General features: G+C 43.2%; 2 protein-coding genes across 12 annotated transcripts in view; one reads left to right on the top strand and one right to left on the bottom strand.

The window, feature by feature from the left end:
• NEK9 (NIMA related kinase 9) overlaps nt 1–19,113 on the top strand; it is a 47,850-nt gene extending 28,737 nt beyond the window's left edge. For all 5 annotated transcript variants that reach the window (XM_047431919.1, NM_001329238.2, XM_005268209.4 and 2 more), the window contains exons 17-22: nt 1,196–1,366; nt 3,035–3,094; nt 6,988–7,196; nt 9,825–9,986; nt 11,236–11,448; nt 13,780–19,113. In XM_047431919.1, the coding sequence (XP_047287875.1) occupies nt 1,196–1,366; nt 3,035–3,094; nt 6,988–7,196; nt 9,825–9,986; nt 11,236–11,448; nt 13,780–13,902 (938 nt within the window). In that variant the 3' untranslated portion in view covers nt 13,903–19,113. The remainder of the gene's footprint in view (nt 1–1,195; nt 1,367–3,034; nt 3,095–6,987; nt 7,197–9,824; nt 9,987–11,235; nt 11,449–13,779) is intronic.
• ZC2HC1C (zinc finger C2HC-type containing 1C) overlaps nt 18,478–22,457 on the bottom strand; it is a 10,348-nt gene continuing 6,368 nt past the window's right edge. For all 7 annotated transcript variants that reach the window (NR_110315.2, XM_011537155.3, XM_005268062.4 and 4 more), the window contains one exon: nt 18,478–20,934. Coding sequence is in view for 6 of the 7 variants with exons in the window: in XM_011537155.3 (XP_011535457.1) it covers nt 20,902–20,934 (33 nt within the window). In the remaining variant the exon portion in view is untranslated. The remainder of the gene's footprint in view (nt 20,935–22,457) is intronic.

Below are 22,457 nucleotides of genomic sequence, written 5' to 3'. Positions count from 1 at the left end.
GACTCATTTATTCAACAGCTCCTCAACTTGATGTCTAAATTTAGGGTGGGCCATATAACCCAGTTATCTTAGACCAATCCTGATTCATGCCTTCATGCCTGTTGTCCTGGCTTAATGATTAATAGCCACCCTGTTTCATTTTTTTTTAAAAGCCTGATTTGGATAAGAAGTTATAGGCATCTCAGACAAACTTAGTATACTCAAAATCAAACTTCTGATTTTCTGCCCAGATCTGTACCTCCTGCAGCCTTCCTGTCTCAGTAAATGGCAACTTCCTCCTACACTCCACATCCCATCCATATTGGTTATCTTCAGAATAAATCCAACCACTTCTCACCATCTCCACTACAACTGGTCTCCCTGCTTCCATCCTTGCTCCCCTGCCATCAGTTCTCCTCAGTAGACAGAGGGATTCTCTTAAATAACTACTGCTCAAAACCTCCAGTGGTTTCCTCTATCAGTCAGTAAGTGCCAGAGTCATCACAGTGGCCCGACTGGCCCTATGTGAGCAGGACCTCAGCCACCTCCTGACCCCTTCTGTTATTCCGTCCCTTCCTTTACTTTGTTCTAGCTGCAGGGGTCTCCTTGTTCCTTGTTTGTGCTGCTGACATTACTTTTGCTGTTGCTCTTCTCTCTGCCTGGAAACTCTTCGTCACTCCAGTAGATCTCTGTTCAAGTGTCAGAACTCCTCTGACCTACCCTATCTAAAATAATGATATCCCACCCCACTGTTACTCTTTGTTTCCACTTATTTTTCTCCACCATTTATCTTCATAGCATTTATCACCACCTTAAATATTAGGTGTATATTTATTATTATCAGTCTCCCCTACTAGAATGTCAGTTCCACAGGGCAAGGACTTGGTTTTGTTCACTGCTCTATCACCCCATGCAGTACCTGTCATGAAATAGATGTTCAGTCACTGTTTGAATGAATGACCAATAAAAAGTTGTTGAAGAAAAAGGTGAATGATTGGATGAATGAATGAGTGAATGGCAGTACATAGGAAGAGTGGGCATTTTTACCCAAGTGGAATCAGGAAGAGTTTAAGCTTTATATAGGAGAATAAACAGCTTTCCCTTGTTTAGTACATAGTGGGAAGTCTTTCTAGCTCTAGGATATAAAGATGGGGAACCCGGAGAATTGGGAAGCCAGTGTTCTGTTAAATGGTCTACTGTTTAACTTTTTTCCTAGATAATCACATTTTTGCCTGGGGCAATGGTGGTAATGGCCGCCTGGCAATGACCCCCACAGAGAGACCACATGGCTCTGATATCTGTACCTCATGGCCTCGGCCTATTTTTGGATCTCTGCATCATGTCCCGGACCTGTCTTGCCGTGGATGGCATACCATTCTCATCGTTGGTAAGAGTTTCATATGTCTGGGGTTGGGATGGCTTTGACAGAGGATGGACCCACATCTGAGTACTGTTAGTCACATTGTTGGAAACAGAAATGTCCTGAAGAAGCCATTTCTGTAAGTCTTGTAATGGTCAAGGATGCCATGCCTAGTGGTGGGAACAGAACATTGTCATTTCCTGGAGCTTTGCTATCTGCCATCTCTTGATTATTTTTTAATATAAGTTTGGGCTCTGCCTGCCCCCTTAGAATTGATTTTTTTGGTTGTTTTTTTTTGTCTTTTTTTTGAGTTGGAGTTTCACTCTTTTCGCCCAGGCTGGAGTGCTATGGTGTGATCTCGGCTCACTGCAACCTCCGCCTCTTGGGTTCAAGCAAATTCTCTTGCCTCAGCCTCCCAAGTAGCTTGGACTATAGGTGCCTACCACCACGCCTGACTAATTTTTGTATTTTTGGTAGAGATGGGGTTCCACCACGTTGGCCAGGCTGGTCTAGAACTCCTGACCTCAGGTGATCCACCTGCCTCAGCCTCCCAAAGTGCTGGGATTACAGGCATGAGCCACCGTGCCTGGCCCTAGAATTTGTTACTTCTAATCATCCACCAATTAATTTGTTGTCTGTGCTCATGCTTTCATGAGAAACATTCAGTACATCCTTTAAAAGAAACTTTAAATTATAAGCACTTTCTGCATAAAGATTACTTTGTTAGGAACTACTTTATAAATGCCTGTGTAAGGGTTTATAAGTCTACTTTTAGATCAGTGGTTTGCAACCTTAGCAGCACATACATTAGAATCCTTGAGAAGCTTTTTTTTTTTTTTTTTTTTTTTTTGAGACGAAGTCTCGCTCTGTCGCCCAGGCTGGAGCGCAGTGGTGCGATCTCAGCTCACTGCATCCTCCCAGGTTCAAGCGATTCTCCTGCCTCAGTCTCTCGAGTAGCTGGGACTACAGGAGTGTACCATCACACCTGGCTAATTTTTGGATTTTTTAGTAGAGATGGGGTTTCACCATATTAGCCAGGCTGGTCTTGAACTCCTGACCTCATGATCTGCCTGCCTCGGCCTCCCAAAGTGCTGAGATTACAGACATGAGCCACTGAACCCGGCCAAGAAGCTTTTAAGAATACCACGGTCCAGACCCTATCCCTGACCAATTAAATCAGAATCTCTGGGGTGGAACCTACAGACCTATGCAATGTTACTTCCTTTTTTTAAATTTTGAGACAGAGTCTCACTCTGTTACCCAGAGTAGAGTGCAGTGGCACAGACACAGCTCACTGTAGTTTCGCTCTCCCAGGCTCAATTGATCCTCTCACCTGAGCCTCCCAAGTAGCTGGGACTACAGGCCAGTGCCACCACACCTGGCTAGCTTTGCATTTTTTTTTAGAGATTGGGTTTTGCCATGTTGCCTAGGCTGGTCTCAAACACATGGTTACTTTTTAAAACTTCCCAGGTGATTCCAGTGACCAGCCAAGGCAGACAGTTGCTAATGTAGATAGTGAATATACTTAGAATAGCAAGTGGTGCTTAGCTTATGATACTAATTTCTAAAACTGTAAGTTATAGTTCTAAAGTTATCTGGAGTCAAGGAGAGCAATTATCTCCCTATCCTAGTCTTCTCTCATTTTTCTTGCCTATATCAGTATACAGTGCTTACCTACCAAATATTTTTTCTCAGAGAAAGTATTGAATTCTAAGACCATCCGTTCCAATAGCAGTGGCTTATCCATTGGAACTGGTAAGTACCAATGTTTCAGGTACCAGTGGTTTTCTGAAGTGTGGGTCTTTTGGTTAGATTCCATGTAGACTCCAAAACCCAAAGGAAAATGGGAAATGTCTTTGGGAAGTGAGGAATACAGTGGTTAAGAGAGAAGATCATATTTTGTTTGGTTTTGCAGTAAGTTATAACTTTTACATTGTGGTCAGAGAGACACTACATCATCTTTGCCTCCAACGCATATGCAAGTAATTAAGTAGCTTGCCCAGTACTGTAATATGACTTATGTATTATTCCTTTCCTTACTATTCTAGGGGGTAATGAGTCCTCTACTTCCACGGTATTCCCAGGGGTATTCCAGTCTAAAGAAATAGTTCACCAAAACAGGCACTCAGAATAAAACTCGGCTAAACTTTCAGTGTGGTTAGGAGAATCATCCCAAAGATCTCTGATAGATTTCCTTTGACTGCTGTCTTCATGGTTCTCTATTATTGGGGACCATGCTAGGAAATTGAATCTATTTTCCTTTTTGGTTTTCTACCTGCTAGAGTCCCTGTAGTCTTTGATGTCTCAGAACCAGGATTCTGATTTATTTTATTTATTTATTTTTTTTGAGGCACAGTCTTGCTCTGTCATCCAGGCTGGAGTGCAATGGCGCAATCTCGGCTCACTGCATCCTCTGCCTCCCAGGTTCAAGTGGTTCACCTTCCTCAGCCTCCCAAGTAGCTGGGATTACAGGCATGCACCACCACACTCAGCTATTTTTTGTATTTTTAGTAGGTTTGGCCAGGCTGGTCTCAAACTCCTGGCCTCAAGTGATCTGCCCACCTCAGCCTCCCAAAGTGCTGGGATTACAGGCATGAGCCACCATGCCCAGCCCAGATTCTGATATTGTTTGGAATCAAAACACATAAACACCCAGAATAAAAGCAGATTAAAGCTGGGCACAGTGGCACAGCCGTTAGTCCCAGGTACTCAGGAAGCTGAGTCAGGAGGATTACTTGAGGCCAGGAGTTCAAGGTTACAGTGCACTATCATCATGCCTATGAATAGCCACTGCAATCCGGCCTGGGCAACATAGCAAGACCCTATCTCGAATAAATGAATAAATACATAAACAATCGGTCAATCAAACAGATTAAACCTCCAAAAAGAAACAGCTGAAAACATGATCTAGACTTGTTGAACTTCAGTTTACACATATACACTGACTTATTACACCATATTATATATAGTTAAGTAGCCCATTGCTTGGCATCTCTGTTTATGTATATTAATATCTGTCAAAACTGACTGAAGATCTTTCGCTAAGCACAGCAGTTCTACTACAAGTTTGTTTTACTAGAACAGTATTTAAAGGAAAAACATAAAATTAAAAGCAAATGTCCATTGGTGGGAAGATGTAAACTCGAGGAAGAGCAGGGATTTTTGTCTTTTTTATTTATCAATTTTATCTACTTCCCTAGAACAGTGCCTGGCAAATGGTAAATGCTCAGTAACTATTTGTTGATTAAATGCGTTATAACCATCCATTGGAGTGAAAGTGAACATCTCCAAATATTTCCATAATGTGAAATGTAAAAAGCAAGTTGCAGCAGACTACATGCCTTTTTATAAAGTTTAGAAACAAGTAAAATAGGCTGGGTGTGGTGGCTCACGCCTGTAACACCAGCACTTTGGGAGGCCAAGGCAGGCAGATCACAAGGTCAGGAGATTGAGAGTATCGTGGCCAACATGGTGAAACCCTGTCTCTACTAAAATACAAAAAAAAATTAGCCAGGCATGGTGGTGCACACCTGTAGTCCCAGCTACTTGGGAGGCTGAGGCAGGGGAATCACTTGAACCTGGGAGGCAGGGGTTGCAGTGAGCCACGATTGCGCCACTGTACAGCCAGCCTGGCGAAAGAGTGAGACTCCATCTCAAAAAAAATAAATAAAAGTAAAATGAATAGTAATGTATTATTTAAGGATACATAAAGGCGATAAAGTTTTTAAGAAGAAATGATAAATATAAAATTAAACAGAATGGTTTCATCTGGGTAGGAGGCCAGAGAAGGAAGGAATTCACACGGCAAATACAGTGATATAGGTAATGCTCTAGTTCAGCAGTGTCCAGTAGATCTTTTTGCAACAATGGAAATGTTCCATATCGGTGCTGTTCAGTATAGTAGCTACCAGCTTTCTGTGGCTATTGAGCACTCCAGAGAGTGGCTTGTGTGACTGAGGAACTGAATTTTTAATTCTCTTTAAGTTTAAGCGGGCACATATGGCTAGTAACTCATATTGGATAGTGCAATTCTAGTTCTAGTGGCAAATAGACCTATGTTTATTGTTAGGCATGAAAATTTACACGTATGTTAAAATAGTCTTAGGTATATCTAAAATGCAGCATAATCTTAAAAAGCCATTTAAAACAAAAAGTAAGCTTCAGAACTCACTTTGGTAACTATAGTTCTGCTGCTTCCGTAGGATCTCAGCATGACCCAGTTAGTCCCCAGGCCAGCACAGCAGGTGATAATTAACCCTTCTTTACATTTAGCCTCAGAAAATACCAGGCATCAGAACAAGGATCCCTGAGGAGTAAGAGAAAAAAAAAAAGAAAATACCAGGCAATTTTTCTTTAACTTTGACAGATTAATCTTCTTAATTATATTTTTATTTGGCCCATATTAAAATTCAGTTTCATTTCCTGACCACACATCAGCTAGTCTTCATTAAGGTTGCTTGGAATATGCTGTATGATATGAAAGAATCAGCCATTATATTATAAAAATGGATACAGATAGTCGTCAGAGAATGTAATATTCACATTAAATTTTGAAGAATTGGCCGGGCGCAGTGGCTGACGCCTGTAATCCCAGCACTTTGGGAGGCCGAGGCGGGTGGATCACTTGAGGTCAGGAATTCAAGGCCAGCCTGGCCAACATGGTGAAACCCTGTCTTTACTGAAAATACAAAAATTAGCCAGGCATGGTGGCGGGCACCTGTAATCCCAGCTACTCAGGAGGCTGAGGCACGAGAATCACTTGAAGCCAGGAGGCGGAGGTTGCAGTGAGCCAAGATCGTGCCACTGCACTCTAGCCTGGATGACAGAATGAAACTGTGCCTCAAAAAAAAAAAATTGCTGGGTGCAGTGGCTCACGCCTGTAATCCCAGCACTTTGGGAGGCCAAGGTAGGTGGATCACCTGAGTTCGAGACCAGCCTGGCCAACATAGTGAAACCCCGCCTCTACTAAAAATACAAAACTTAGCTGGGCATGGTGGTGTGTGCCTGTAATCCCAGCTACTCGGGAGGCTGAGACAGGAGAATTGCTTGAACCTGGGAGGCAGAGGTTGCAGTGAGCCAAGATCGGGCCACTGCACTCCAGCCTGAGCAACAGAAGCTAGACTCGGTCTCAAATAAAAAAAAAAAAGTTGAAGAATTCAACATTCAGATTTTCCCCGGACAGGGAGTTAATGGTAAGTTTATCTGGCAACTTTAAGAGGAGTTTGGCTCAAATATTAAAGACCTTTTTATATAAGATAAGTGTCTATGGAGGATGCTGGAATCTGAATGTATCTCTTAAAGAAGCAGAGTAAGCATGGGTGCTAGATTTGGTGGGCTGTGGTTGGGGGGATTGTTTGGTAATGCTTTTAGAATATTGATAACCTGCTATGGATACAAGATAAACAAAGTTGGTAAATGGAAGTGAATTATCATTATGAGCATCCTGATATACAAATACAACTATACAAAATTACAAAACATAGTTTGTATGAAAACCAAAAATTTAGTCCCTAACATTTGACTTGCACTGTTGCCATTGCACTTCATGCAGCTTATAGGCACCTTTCCAGGGTAAGTAGGGTTGTCAAATGGTAAATCTGTCTTGCTGCATAGCAAAGCTGTCTATTTCTGTGCTGTATATCTGTCAGTGTTTCAGAGCTCTAGCCCGGGAGGAGGCGGCGGGGGCGGCGGTGGTGAAGAAGAGGACAGTCAGCAGGAATCTGAAACTCCTGACCCAAGTGGAGGCTTCCGAGGAACAATGGAAGCAGACCGAGGAATGGAAGGTTTAATCAGTCCCACAGAGGCCATGGGGAACAGTAATGGGGCCAGCAGCTCCTGTCCTGGCTGGCTTCGAAAGGTAATTCCTTTGGAAGAAGTAACTTGGATAAAATATGTGGCCCTTTGCAGGAACTAGAAAGAGCTGTCAGGGTCTCTCAGTTTTCCAAGTACCTAGTAAACTGTTGTGCATCCTGAATCCAGCCTTCTGATTTCTACCTGGAAAGAAATTGCCTAATCACTAATCCTTTTTTCTTTCCAAAAAGATAAAAAATGTTCTCATACCCTTGTTACTTAAGTGAATGTATTATAAGTTACTATAACCTACCTTGATGGCAGTTTTTGTAGTACATGTATATAAAGATTAAGCTTACAGATTTTATACTGTCATTTATAGAAATGGAATATTGGAGCAGTTGGAATGCCTTACAATAGGAAAATGGTTGATGAAAGTTGAGATACAGAAAGTAAAAATGTTGGATTGGGCACAGTGGCTCATGCCTATAATTCCAGCACTTTGGGAGGCTGAGGCAGGAGGATCACTTGAGCCTAGGAGCTCAAGACCAGCTTGGGCAACACAGCAAGACCTTGTCTGTACCAAAAATTTAAAAAATTAGCCGGGTGTAGTAGTGTGCACCTATAGTTCCAGCTACTCAGGAGGCTGAGGCAGGATGATCACTTGAACCTGGGAAGTCGAGGCTGAAGTGAGCCGAGCTGTGCCATGATTGTACCACTGCAATCCAGCCTGGGTGACAAAGCAAAACCCTGTTCAAAAAAAAAAAAAAGTAAGAATGTTGAAGTATATTTATTTTCATGGAAAGTTACTCACAACATATGGCTATGCAGAAGAGGATGATATATCTGTATGATCTCATTCTTTTAGGAAATATGTAACACACAAAAGAATGTCAACAAGACTATGTATTGACAGTTTTTAAAGTGGTTGTCTGTAAGTGATGGAATTGCTGGTGAATTTTATTAGTTTCCTTTGCCCATTTGTATTTTCTCATTTTCTACAGTAAATATTTATGGTTTGTGAAATTTTAAATTTTTTACCAAAAAAAAAAAAAAAAAGACCGAGCATGATGGCTCCCAGCTGTAATTCCAGCACTTTGGGAGGCCAAGGCAGGAGGATTGCTTGAGCCCAGGAGTTTGAGACCAGCCTAGACAACATAGGGAGACCCCATCTCTATAAAAATTTAAAAAAAAATAAGGCCAGGGCCAGGCATGGTGGCTCACATCTGTAATCCCAGCTCTTTGGGAGGCCAAGGCGGGAGGATCACCTGAGGTCAGGAGTTTGAGAACAGCCTGGCCAATCATGGTGAAACCCCATCTCTACTAAAAATACAAAAATTAGCCGGGCAAGGTGGCTCACGCCTGTAATCCCAGCACTTTGGGAGGCTGAGGCGGGCGGATCACAAGGTCAAGAGATCAAGACCATCCTGGCCAACATGGTGAAACCCCATCTCTATTAAAAATACAAAAATTAGCCGGGCGTTGTGGCGCACGCCTGTAGTCCCAGCTGCTCAGGAGGCTGAGGCAGGAGAATCGCTTGAACCCAGGAGGTGGAGGTTGCAGTGAGCCGAGATTGCGCCACTGCACTTTGGCCTGGTGACAGAGCGAGACTCCGTCTCAAAAAAAAAAAAAAATTAGCTGGGCATGGTGGCACGCACCTGTAATCCCAGCTACCTGGGAGGCTGAGCCAGGAGAATCACTTGAGCCCAGGAGGCGAAGGTTGCAGTGAGCCGAGATCGCACCACTGCAGTCCAGCCTGGGCGACAGAGTGAGACTCCATCTCAAAAAATAAATAGATAAATAAATAAGGCTGGGCGAGGTGGCTCACACCTGTAATCCCAGCACTTTGGGAGGCCAAGGCGGGCAGATCACTTGAGGTCAGGAGTTTGAAACCAGCCTGGCCAACATGGTGAAACTCTGTCTCTACTAAAAATACAAAAAATTAGCCAGTTGTGGTGGTACACGCTTGTAATCCCAGCTACTTGGGAGGCTGAAGTAGGAGGACCACTTGAACCTGGGAGGTGAAGGTTGCAGTGAGCCGAGATTGTGCCACTGCACTTCAGCCTGGTGACAGAGTGAGATTCTGTCTCAAAAAAATAATAATTAGCCGGGCATGGTGGCACATGCCTGTGGTCCTAGCTACTCAGGAGGCTGATGTGGAAGGATTATTTGAGTCCCAAAGGTCAGGACTACAGTGAGTCATGGTTGTGCCACTGCACTCCAGCCTGGGCAACAGAGCAAGACCCTGTTTCAAAAAAAAAAATCTGTAGGTTTAAAGCTCCCTGTCTAATAAGACTAAACTTGCTAGTGATTTGAGGAGCGTGAACAGAGGAAGCAGCATGCTGTTCTGTCTGCACCTTTAGCCTCAGCTTTCAGCAGTGTTGCAGCCAGCCTCACTGACACTTCCTTGGAGCGCCCCAGCTCACTGAATAGCCTGTGTAGAATAAGCGTGTTGGAGTGACACACCAGAAACTCCAGCCTGTGTTCTTTGAGTTTGCCTTTGCATCACTGTTTCTCTGATGAAGGGGTGGCAGTTTTTTCACAGGTAGGCTGTGATATGTTGTTAACCACAACTGTCTTGCCCACTAGAGGGTGCTGAAGTCATGAGAGAGGGAAAACTATAGCAAAAAGAAGGGAATTTGGGAGGAAGCAAATACTGCAAACAGACTAATGAGATTCTTTCTCATATACATAGGAGCTGGAAAATGCAGAATTTATCCCCATGCCTGACAGCCCATCTCCTCTCAGTGCAGCGTTTTCAGAATCTGAGAAAGATACCCTGCCCTATGAAGAGCTGCAAGGACTCAAAGTGGCCTCTGAAGCTCCTTTGGAACACAAACCCCAAGTAGAAGCCTCGGTAACTGAGCTTTTTGCCTTTGAATCACAACTAGGTAAACAGTCACTGCAAGCTCTGCCTGGTTCTTCTGGCCTCGCTCTAGCTTTTGGGTTTCAGCTGCCCTGCATCAACTCATTATACTGTCTATTCAGCAGTACTTAAAGCCTCAACCCAAGACTAAACTGAGTTGCCTCAGAAAGGTATTTACCCTTCCACATTTCTGACAGGCTAACACCTTTCTAAAGGGATTGTCTTTTCCCTCTGCCTCAGAAATACCAAAATTCAAATTCAGTTTTTCATGACACTGGCAGGGTAGGTTAGAGGCTCTAAATATAAGAAAGAAGTAATACTGGTAGTCTAGTGAGGAAGCAACACATGTACACCTAACCTTGGTAAAAATGACATTGTGGTAAATACCTCAGTAAAACTATAATCCAAGGTCATGAAACTTTTTCTATAAAAGGCTACATAATTATTTTAGACTTTTCCTATTAAAGGCCACATAGTAATTATTTTAGACCATTTTAGACAGAAATGTGTACAGCCTCTTTTGCAACTACTCAACTCTGACATTGTAGCACAAAAAGCAGCTTCAAGTAATACATAATGAATGGGCATCCTTGTGTTCCAATAAAATTGTATTTACAAAAACAGGCAGTGGGCCAGAATTGGCCTATGGGCTATTTGTTGAACCCTCCTATAAAAAAAGTACAGTAGAAAAGAGAAAAATCCAGACTAGGATCATCAGAAAGCTTCCCAGAAGAGGTAATAATACCTTTGAAACTTCAAGGTGAATGTTTTAATTTCTCTGTCAGTTCACCTTCTTAAATTGTGTTGGTGGTCCTGTTTACTGACCACCTCTCAGATCTTTTCTAAAGTGTGATTCACTGCATATCATGAATATTGACCCTTTGGGTCTGTGATCTGAAAGACTTGTTCCAAACCAAATCATGCTTTTCCCTACTTCAGCATTTTAAATGAGAAGATACCAAGGTGCTTTAAAATTTTTCACAAAGTCCTCCAAAATAGATGATTGGTCTCCCACCTTGGCCTAATGGGGACTGAGGCAGAGAGTTCACTTTCCATGTTATGTCAGTGCCCATCGCTGTTATAATCCTAGCATTTCTGTTTCTCGTACATATATTCATGTGTATATATGATTTATCTTGTTAATTTAAAAGTAAAATCCGATTGCACTTAGAGGAAGTTTGGATTGAGGAGCTATGACACCTGGGCAGAACCTCCTGCAATCTCCTTCTTGTCTCTCTAGTCACCTCGGCTGAATCCTGCAGTAACCTGTGCTGGGAAGGGAACACCACTGACTCCTCCTGCGTGTGCGTGCAGCTCTCTGCAGGTGGAGGTTGAGAGATTGCAGGGTCTGGTGTTAAAGTGTCTGGCTGAACAACAGAAGCTACAGCAAGAAAACCTCCAGATTTTTACCCAACTGCAGAAGTTGAACAAGAAATTAGAAGGAGGGCAGCAGGTGAGAGCATTAAAAGAATAATCCAATTTCTAAGCCTGTTTTGAAGAATCACAGAAACAAAACACAAAGTACTGAAATAGACTTGTTCCTTTGCAGGTCCTTACTTTTTTTTTGAGACGGAGTCTCGCTCTGTTGCCAGGCCAGAGTGCAGTGGTGCTATCTTGGCTTACTGCAACCTCCGCCTCCCGGATTCAAGCAATTCTCCTGCCTCAGCCTCCCGAGTAGCTGGGACTACAGGTGTGCACCACCATGCCCGGCTAATTTTGGTATTTTTAGTAGAGACAGGGTTTCACCGTGTTGGCCAGGATGGTCTCGATCACTTGACTTCATGATCCACCCGCCTCAGCCTCCCAAAGTGCTGGGATTACAGGTGTGAGCCACCACGCCTGGCCGATCCTTAGTTTTTAATGATACCATTTTTGTAATTATAATCCCAGAAGCCTTGGGCCTTGTTCAGGCACCTAGATTGAATCATTTTCATCACTTGCATTGCTTTTTCTTAGTGTATGTTTTTTCTTTTACAATACTTAATTACATACCTCTGAAAATAGACATTCTCCTGAACAACCACAATACTATAACCACACCTAAAAAAATTAATACTAGTATTGTCAATTCTCATCTAGTATCCAGCTGATACCTCAATTTTCCCAGTTTTCCCCCACAAAAATGTCCTTTATAACCATTTTTTATCAGACTAGAATCCAGTCAAGAATCCCACATTATATGTATGTCTCATTTCTTTTCATCTAAAACAGCTCCCTCCACCACCATCACCTTTTTTAAATTATTTTATTTTTATTTTTATTTTTATTTTTATTTTTATTTTTTGAGACAGTCTCACTCTGTTGCCCAGGCTGGAGTGCAGTGGCGTGATCTCGGCTTACTGCAACCTCCACCGCCCGGGTTCAAGTGATTCTTCTGCCTCAGCCTCCCGAGTAGCTGGGACTATAGACGCTTACCACCATGCCCAGCCAATTTTTGTATTTTTAGTAGAGATGGGATTTCACCATATTGGCCAGGCTGGTGTCAAACTCCTGACCTCGTGATCCACCTGCCTCGGCCTCCCAGAGTGCTAGGATTACAGGTGTGAGCCACTGCGCCAGGCCTTATTTATGTATTTATTTTGAGACAGGGTCTTGCATTGTCACCAAGGCTGGAGTGCAGTGGCACAAACATGGATCACTGCAGCCTTGACTTCCTAAGCTCAAGTGATTCTCTGACCTCAGCCCCCCAAGTAGCTGGAACTACAGGCATGTTCCACCATGCTCTGCTTCACCTTTTAAAAAAATACTTTTATGACATTGACTTGTTGAAGAAACCAGGGCAGTTGTTCAACAGAATGTCCCACATTCTAGATTTGTCTTGTTTTCTCAGGGTGTTGTCTAACTTGTTTTTCTGTCACCCTGTCTTTTCTGAAAACTGGAAGTTTAACCTAAGGCTTGATTAGATTCACATTAAACATTTTTAGTGAAAATACTTCAAAGGTGATGCTGCTTGCATTATTTTTCGAGAGCCATGCTATTGTTTTATATAGAGGGAAGTAGAAGCAGAGAAATAGGGTTAGGCCCTTGGCTTTGCCATTTGCCAGCTGTAGGTGTTTGGGCTACTTTGTTTTCTCTGAGCCCTGGTTTCTCACCTGAAAGAAAATAATAGACACCTTGTATGGTTCTTTGGAGGATTAAATGAACTAATGTTTATGAAATTACTTTAGAAAATAATATACAGGCTGAGCACGGTGGCTCACACCTGTAATCCCAGCACTTTGGGAGATTGCTTGAGCCCAGGAGTTCAAGACCAGCCTGGGCAACCTGGTGAAACCCCATCTCTACCAAAAATAAAAACTAACTGGGCATGATGGCACACGCCTATAGTCCCAGTTATTCAGGAGGCTGAGGTGGGAAGATCACCTGAATCTGGGGAGGTCAAGGCTGCAGTGATCCGTGATCACACCACTGCACTTCGGCGTAAGCAACAGAGCAAGACCCTGTCTCAAAAACACACACACACACAAGGTAAGATTGGCAGCTATAGCAGGGAGAAGATTGTTTTGCCCAGGACTTTTTCCATTTTAAAACTAAGAGTTCTGCATCCCAGGAAACCCCGCAGTCCTGGACAAACCTGGATAGTTGGTCACCCTACCTGCAGTAAATATAAAGGTATGGACTGTATCTAAAATAGTGCCATGAGCGTCTCACAAGATCGTGGCTACAAATCCTTAGCCACGCCTTAGCCAATGCCTTAGAAGTTGGCATTGAAAATATAGTACTGAACTACTTCTGTGACTAGGTGGCACTGTTGCTAATGTGGAACCGTGTTTTATCCGGACAGGTGGGGATGCATTCCAAAGGAACTCAGACAGCAAAGGAAGAGATGGAAATGGATCCAAAGCCTGACTTAGATTCAGATTCCTGGTGCCTCCTGGGAACAGACTCCTGTAGACCCAGCCTCTAGTCTCCTGAGCCTGTAGAGCCCCCAGGAGACTGGGACCCAAAGAACTTCACAGCACACTTACCGAATGCAGAGAGCAGCTTTCCTGGCTTTGTTCACTTGCAGAAAAGGAGCGCAAGGCAGAGGCTCTGAAGCACTTTCCTTGTACATTTGGAGAGTGGCATTGCCTTTTAGATAGGATCTAGGAGTGATTTTATTGTTTTGGAGAATGGAAGGGCCCCCATGGCCCTGGCTTTGTCATCAGTGACTGCCATAGCAACAGCAGCTCTGTACCTCATCTGTTGATCCCACCTTTGAAGAGGAGACACAGTGCTCACCTTAATTGCGCTGGTAGCAGCTTATATCCCATGTATCATTTTCACCATTGATTGGAAGCTGCCTTGGGAATTCAGTACCAGGCATTACCCCTCTGGGTGGGAGAGGGAGAAGTGTAAAGTTGGAGTGGGCTGGAATCAGGTGTGGCCCGCCCAGTGTCCTCTGCAGAGTGGTGAAGTAGTCTGGCCCTCTTGGGAGCCCTGAGTCCAGGAAAATATGTCTGATGGAGTCAATCTAGGGCTTGTTTCGAAAAAGTTCAGTTACTCTGTGCAGCTAAATGCTTTAGGAGGAAAGGTAGGCTTAGGTTGCTTTTCCTCTGAGGGTTGATTGAAATTTCTTCAGTGAGGAATAGAGAAAGGGCAGGACCCTCCTCATCACACAGCTGGTGTTTCAGGCTGTGACCAATGCAGGGTGGGATTTCCTAACTGTGGATGAGGGGATGAGGTGTCTCTGAGGGATGAGGTGTCTCAGAGAATTGAGTCCATGGGGCAGTCAGAATAGCCTTAAGAGAAAATCATGAAGGAGAAGAGGTCCTCCTTTAGCTGCCTCTACTTGGTATCTTAGAGAGGGCTTAGAGGGCTCTCAGTCTTCTGCCCATGAAAAGACTTCTTTGAGCCTCTGCCTTCATGGCTCTTAGGGTTCTGATCTTGATATCAGCAGCCCCAACCACTTTCTTTCTGAATGTCTAGTCAGTATTTTTCCCCTTTTGGTGTTTTATGAAGCCATGTGGTAACGAATGAATCTGTATCATTTTTCCTACCTGAGTGGCCCAAAGCCAGCACCAAACCCTGGGAGTCCCTGAAGCCTAACAGAACAGGTAGAACTTGCAAAAGGAATTTGGCTGAGAGCTCACTTCTAATCCTGTACTCACTGTGTCTTTGTAGATAGAAACAAGCTAGCTTTACCAAAGAGAAATAGTGTCATAGAAGAACAAAACTTCATATAGAAAGTTCTAGGCAAGTATTTGATGGTTTCCTTAAGGATGTGAGCTTTGTATTTCCACCTAGCCTTGTAAAATGTTCCTGTGGTATTTTGTGTCACACATCCTACCTTTGATGAGTCTCACATCCCACCTTCCTATAAACAGCTAAATTAATTTTGTTTCATCTTCCCCAGACCAAAATGTTTGATAATCTTATCAACATTGTGGGAGGTCTTGTGCAATGGAAATTTTGCCATTTCTCCAAAACTGGTGGCATAAAGGCTGATGCTTGGGGAGAACCCCATTGCTCGGGACAGGCAACTCTGTTCAATGGGATCTTCTTTGGTTTGATGTTCCCATTGTTTTCTCAGTTCTGGGAAGCCTAGTACATTAGTACTAATGTAATCACTGAAACCTTTTCTTGAAATAAGGGAAGCAGCCAAACTTTGATTAAAGTTGCAAGTTCTGGGGACTTGCGGGGGTTGTCATAAACTGTAACAGTGGGTTTTGGTTCAGCATGTAAATGCAACTTTGATTTTCTTGAGGACCGATTGACCTGTCATGTCCCTGTATCCTCATGCTCATCATCTCAGCAGGCCTGAGAGGCTGGGTCAGTTTGGGTGTTCATCATGAGGATTGCTTCTGCCATGGAGCTGATGGACATGGGCAGGTTGCTGAGAAGGTGGGGTGAAAGTGAGTGCCGGGGGTGGGTGAGTGCCCTGGTCTTGTTCATAGGGGAGCCTTTCCCTAGCAGTGGAACGCTGTGGTCATTTTCTCTAGCATATTCCCTTGGGAAGTCTAGATTTGCTATTAATCTGGCTGAGAATCTAAGTTCTGTGCCTTAGAGACAGTTTGCACTTTCCCATATTGTGCCTGGGACAGCCATATGATTTTTTTTCCCACCAAACAAGTATGCAAACAGAAACCAGTTCAAAGGGGGATGGAGTAAAAGATGAGGCAGTAGAAATGCCTTTGAATGGTTTTCTGTAGCTAATTCTCTTTAAATTTTGTCCTGCTTTTTTTCTTTATGCAGTGCTAGGTGTTTTAAGTTTTCTAGTAGTATTGCTTTTGAGTTACAGTATAACCTGAGTTACTCCTCTGCTCTAACATTGTTGCAGAAGAACTAGTTTATTGTTAGCCAGGTTGCTTGAAAGGTTGAGAGTGGAGTGGTTTGGCATTTCTGTTTTAAATAAACATTTAAGCTCTTAATCAGTACTGTGCTTCAGTAAGCCTGTGCATGGACCTTAGTCTCTGGGGATAAAACATCCAGATTCTAAGCCTCCGTGAATCTTTGATTCTGTGAGTCTTTATATAAATAATGTTCTTGGAACAGAAACAATGCAAGGGACATCTGCACAGAAATATTCTTTGCTTCTCTCCAGTTTCTTATTCTTGCCAGCAGAATCATTGCTGCTGCTACAGCTTTTTTCCCAAAAATGTCTAAAAGTGCCGAAAGTGCAGAGGGAGGGAAAAAATGAGCCACTAAAAGAAGGATGATCCTTTCTTGTACCTACCTCCTCAGTCTCAGTGGGGGCCTTTCCAAGTGATAATGCCAGTTTATGGTTTGTAAAACTTTTCCTTCAAAGAGATTGAACTGAATTTGGTCTCCCTGGCATAGCACAGCCAAGTTACAACTTCTCTTGGCTGAGCATTTCACTGAAGTTTAAAGCAAAAGTACACTAAAAAATTTCATTTCACTTGCCATATGTTCACAAACATTCATAATAGAACAATTCAGGGGCAAGAATACATTTTAAATAAATTCATTCACATGAAATCCCTAAACCTCCAAAAAAGTATTCATGATGGTCAGGGCAGAGTGGGCTATAATCAGGACTATAAAACATGTTCCTAACTGCTGCAAAGCCAAAAATCATTTATTGTTTCAATGATTAACTGTGGAAATAAACACGCTGATCATTAAACCTCACAGAATGATGAACATTAGGGAGAAAAACTCCACTATGTCACATCTCTGTTACCACCTGTGTAGCTGTGGAGAGTGATAAATTGATAATGAAAGCAAACATTGGCCAGAAGGTGCTGTGCTGCATTACATACATTGCTGTTAAGAAATACTGTCTCGGGCCAGACGCAGTGGCTCACGCCTGTAATCCCAGCACTTTGGGAGGCCGAGGCGGGCGGATCACGAGGTCAGGAGATCGAGACCATCCTGGCTAACACAGTGAAATCCCGTCTCTACTAAAAATACAAAAAAATTAGCTGGGTGTTGTGGCAGGTGCCTGTAGTCCCAGCTACTCTGGAGGCTGAGGCAGGAGAATGGCGTGAACCCAGGAGGCGGAGTTTGCAGTGAGCTGAGATTGCGCCACGGTACTCCAGCCTGGGCGACAGAGTGAGACTCCATCTCAAAAATAAAAAAAAAAATACTGTCTTGGCAGGACAGGCGCGGTGGCTCACGCCTGTAATCCCAGCACTTTGGGAGGCCGAGGTGGGCAGGTCAGGAGTTCAAGACCATCCTGGCTAACACAGTGAAACCCCATCTCTACTAAAAATACAAAAAATCAGCCGGGCGTGGTGGTGGGCGCCTGTAGTCCCAGCTACTCGGGAGGCTGGGGCAGAAGAATGGCGTGAACCCGGGAGGCGGAGCTTGCAGTGGGCCAAGATCACTCCACTGCACTCCAGCCTGGGTGACAAGAGCGAGACTCCGTCTCAAAAAAAAAAAAAAAGAAATACTGTCTCGGCACATCTGCATACATTTTTAATGAAATGAGTTTCCACATGAGGAGTTTCCCCGTGAAATTTCTCCTATGGTGTAACCTTATGAACTTTATAATGTTTACTTGCACTAAACATTTCTTGGATAAAGTTGTATAAAATACAGACATTAAGAAGCAGCATGCATTTACTGTCATCGTCTGAGCTATCCAGGAAGAAATTCAGATTTTTTTAAAAAAAGGTTCTTATCTCTTCCCAGAGACCAGATCAAGATAAATTTAAAAGATGAAAGATATTTCTTTTTTTTTTTTCTTTTTTTTTTTTTGAGATGGATTCTTACTAGGTCACCAGGCTGGAGTGCAGTGGCGCGATCTCAGCTCACTGCAACCTCTGCCTCCTGGGTTCAAGCAATTCTCCTGCCTCAGCCTCCCGAGTAGTTGGGACTACAGGTGTGCGCCACCACGCCCAGCTAATTTTTGTATTTTTAGTAGAGACGGGGTTTCACCATGTTGGCCAGGATGGTCTCGATCTCTTGACTTTGTGATCCGCCCACCTCGGCCTCCCAAAGTGCTGGGATTACAGGCATGAGCCACCATGCTCGGCCTTGAAAGATATTTCTAATATAACCAAGGCCTAAACATGTAGAGATTAAAGGGAACACTTAAGGCATTGACTATTGTTTTATTTCTTTAGCAAAATGAGAGCAAACAACTGCTTCCTTTTTAGAAAGCACTCCCCACATATAACAACAATTTGTTCTCTCTGGAGGGCCCGGATCTATGACCTTACTAACATCCAGCGATCCCAAATCCAAGTGCCTGTGGTACCAGGCAGATAAGGTAAAGAAGTGAAGCAGGCCAAGTGAGACTGCAGTGGTCTGGTGCTACCATTCCCATCTGGAGGAGCATCTGATTCTAAACCCCACCCAATTTGTGCCATGCGGGTTGCTGGCCCAGTGTTTCCAGAACTTCCAGTTTTTCAAGAGATGTTCCATATCCCAGTTTTTAAATGTCAGATCATATTATGAATGCTAGGCCAGCGAAATAAAACATCTGTGGAGCAAAGCAATCCACATGTTGCCATTTTGTGACCTTGGCCACAGCTTACTCTTGCCATCTATTGCAATGTACTGGTTTACATTCCCACTTAAAGTGTACATTTCATTGAACTTGCCTAGGGAATGTACCTATTAGGTTAAATATCCATTATCTCTGTGTGAGGTTTCCTTAAGGGGCTAACCATAAAGCTTTATTATGTGATACCTCCTTTCCTTTGGAACAATTAAAAAGAGTGCAAAGAAATGTGTGCTCCTATTTAAATATATAGGATTTTTTCCCAGCCTGTGTCCTGCAGCTTCACCGCTAAAGCCTTAACTCACATTTCAAATTGGTCTGATCTGTTAGCCCAATTTTTTTTTCTTTTTTTTTTTTTTTTTTTTGAGATGGAGTCTCACTAGGTCACCAGGCTGGAGTGCAGTGGAAATGGAGCAAGAGTGAGTGGCCATTTGTTACTTAGTAAAATAGGATTTTGTTGTCTGTCTAGCCCTGTTGACTAGCTCAAATTGAGCAGTTTTTCTCCAGTATTTTAAACTAACAATTTGAGTAATACAGAACAGTAATCCTAAGATTTCTATCTGTTGTGCTAACTTCACTCCTATCTGAACTGATAATACTCTCGCAGACATTAACTTATCAGTTCTCTGATTTCACTAGTGTAGGACTCACTCATCTTCTTGTTTAATTTTAAATCTCCAGACCTCACTAATTGAAGGTCTAACTTGTGCTAGGCAATATTCTACACAGAGAAAATTAAAAAGATTTGATCCCTTTCCCTTCAAAGTTTACTCTCTGAAATAGAAGTTGACTATGCTATAATTGCCAAGGGCATGTGACACTGTGCAGTGTCCCAGCTTTGTTTTGTTTTGAGATGGGGTCTTGCTTTGTTGTCGAGGCCGCTCTTGAACTCCTGGCCTCAAGCAATCCTCCCACTTCAGCCTCCCAAAGTGCTGGAATTATAGGAATGAGCCACCATGACCAGCCTGTCTCAGCTTGCTTTGATGGTAGATTTTGCTGCCTCTAAACAGTCATTTAGCCAAACCGATTTGAAAGTAGAGTGCTACTAACAGCTAAAATGGAGGTTTCTTTCTTAACATATGAAACCCATTAGAAAAGAACAAGTAGAGAGAAGTATAATGTGTTTCCCCCCCAACACCCATCCCTACCCTGTAAAGTACATAAAGATCTTTCCTTTATTACACAGTACACCATAGGGAAGGTTTAGGAGACATTGGTGCCTTAACCTTACATACTTGTATTGGGTTTTGGCCAGGCTTATGCACCAGGGAGACCAAGGATAGATTTCCATTAATAATGCCTTATAGCAAAATTGTATTATCTTTTATAAGAGTTACTATCTGGGTGATCATGCCCCTCTGACACCAACACATCCTAATAACTCCAGCTTCTACAAAAGCAAGAGTTAACAGGAACTCTGAACATACATGCAGTGACAAGAAGGCAGAACCAGATGCAGGCACTTAACTAGCACAAACCACAAGTCAGGCATGCAAGAAAAGAGCTTTAATGGAGCCTGCTCATGACTCTTCAGTGTCTTCACCCATCAATTCTGAGGGCAATAACATAAAGCATACCAGCCCAAGGTTGTAATTTAGTGGGAAGCTGGGGCTTCCTTCTGCCTCCTGCTGCTTAGCAGTGGCTCTCTCCTCACAGATTTTAGCTCTGCAGGCAGATCTGGGAGCTGTTTGATTTCTTTCTGCTTTGCATCAAATTCTACTCCCATTTACTGCTGAAGAGAAGCAGAGCTTTCTGAACTATCCAAAAGTTTCCATTGTTGTCTGCTCAACTATAATGCTTCCTTAGAGGTGGAAGACAGTTCTTGATGGTCTTACACTTGGGAATGTGTTGCTCAGCCACCTTGGGAGCAAAGTGGTGGCTACACTGAGGACACTGAATGCAGTCTGGGTTTTCTGCAGGCAGGATGGGAGGCAAGTGTGAACAGTTTCCACCTTTGGCAGTTACCTGCTGGACCTCTCGAGCCTGGCGGAACGTATGGATAAAAGATTCATGCTTCTATCTCCAGTTGCTCTTCTGAGGAGGTTCAGCCTGTAATGTAAAAGGGAGACTGATCATTCAAGTTGGCACCTATCTCCTTCCTGAGTCTCTTGTAGAATAACAGTAAGAAAATGAAAAGGGTACTAATCTGCAAGGTCAAAGAGAACAGGAAAGGAGCAACAGCGGTAACTGACTTGCCAGCGTTGAGGCAAACCAAGGGCCTGCAAAGGAGGTACTGCTGAGAGGCAAGCCACTTTCCCAACAGAACCTGAGAGGTTCAGTGCTTGGAAGTACCCGATAGTGGAAAGTAAGGAGGTACAGGACTGAAAACAAGTAGGACCCCACGGCTCCTCCCACCTTATGCATCCAAGTGTTCAACACCCAAGCACACTCACAGAAGAGCAAGGATTTATTCTCTGGAGAAATTGAACCACACAGATTTCTGACTCAGGAAATCTAGACACGTGGAACTGGGTTAATCTTGGGGCTGAAAATGGGGATTAAGTACAAGTGTACATACCAAATTATCGAACTGTCAGCCTCCTTCCCCCACTCAGCCCCCAGAGTACCAAGCATATTGGCATCCTCATAGGAAAAAGAGGGGTACTCTGGATACACAGAACAGTCCAGAGAAAAGCCTTCAGATACTGACCTTGGGAAACGCTAATTAAAAGACTCACTATCTGGGAACCTTAATATGAAGATCCTTAGTCAATGAGCCCCACTTAAGCTTAAATATGAAAGGACAGCCAGGAATCATCAGATATTTGCTAAAAGCTCTAACAAGAAAAAGAGCCAAAAAGTCCACAAACAAAAACTTAGGAGGCAGCAACAAGGCAGGTGGCAGAAGAAAACTTTTTTTTAACATGAGACCATATCAACAAAATGAGTATTAGAAGAGATTGTGTCCATAAAACAAGAAGAGTATACTGTGAAAAAAAGACAACCAGAGAACCAGAAAGAACTATTGTAAATTAAAACTTTGATAGCTAAAAATAAAAATTATTTAAATAGAGGCCAGGTGTGATGGCTCACGCCTGTAATCCCAGCACTTTGGGAGGCCAACGTGGGGAGATCACAAGGTCAGGAAATCAAGACCATCCTGGCTAAGACGGTGAAATCCCATCTCTACTAAAAATACACAAAATTAGCTGGGCGTGGTGGCACACGCCTGTAGTCCCAGCTATTCAGGAGGCTGAGGCAGGAGAATTGCTTGAACCTAGGAGGCAGAGGTTGCAGTGAGCCAAGATCATGCCACTGCACTCCAGCCTGGGCGACAGAGCAAGACCCTGTCTCAAAAAATAAATAAATAAATAAATAGAAATGTTGTAAACTAATGTCAAGAAAATTTCTCAGAATGGGAAAAAAGATCAAGATGGAAAGTAAAAAGAAAAGATTAGAAAATTAGAAAGTTAATCCTGGAAGTCCAACATGTGACCAATAAGAGTTGCAGAAGGAACAGAGAAAGCACGAGGAGAAAATTATTGTTGTTTTGTTTTGTTTTGTTTTTGTTGTTGTTGTTATTTGAGATGGAGTCTTGCTTTGTCACCCAGGCTGGAGTGCAGTGGCGCAAT

The sequence above is a fragment of the Homo sapiens genome, chromosome 14 (assembly GCF_000001405.40).
Source record: "Homo sapiens chromosome 14, GRCh38.p14 Primary Assembly".
Classification (NCBI taxonomy): domain Eukaryota; kingdom Metazoa; phylum Chordata; class Mammalia; order Primates; family Hominidae; genus Homo; species Homo sapiens.
This window is presented reverse-complemented; position numbering and strand designations above follow the sequence as displayed.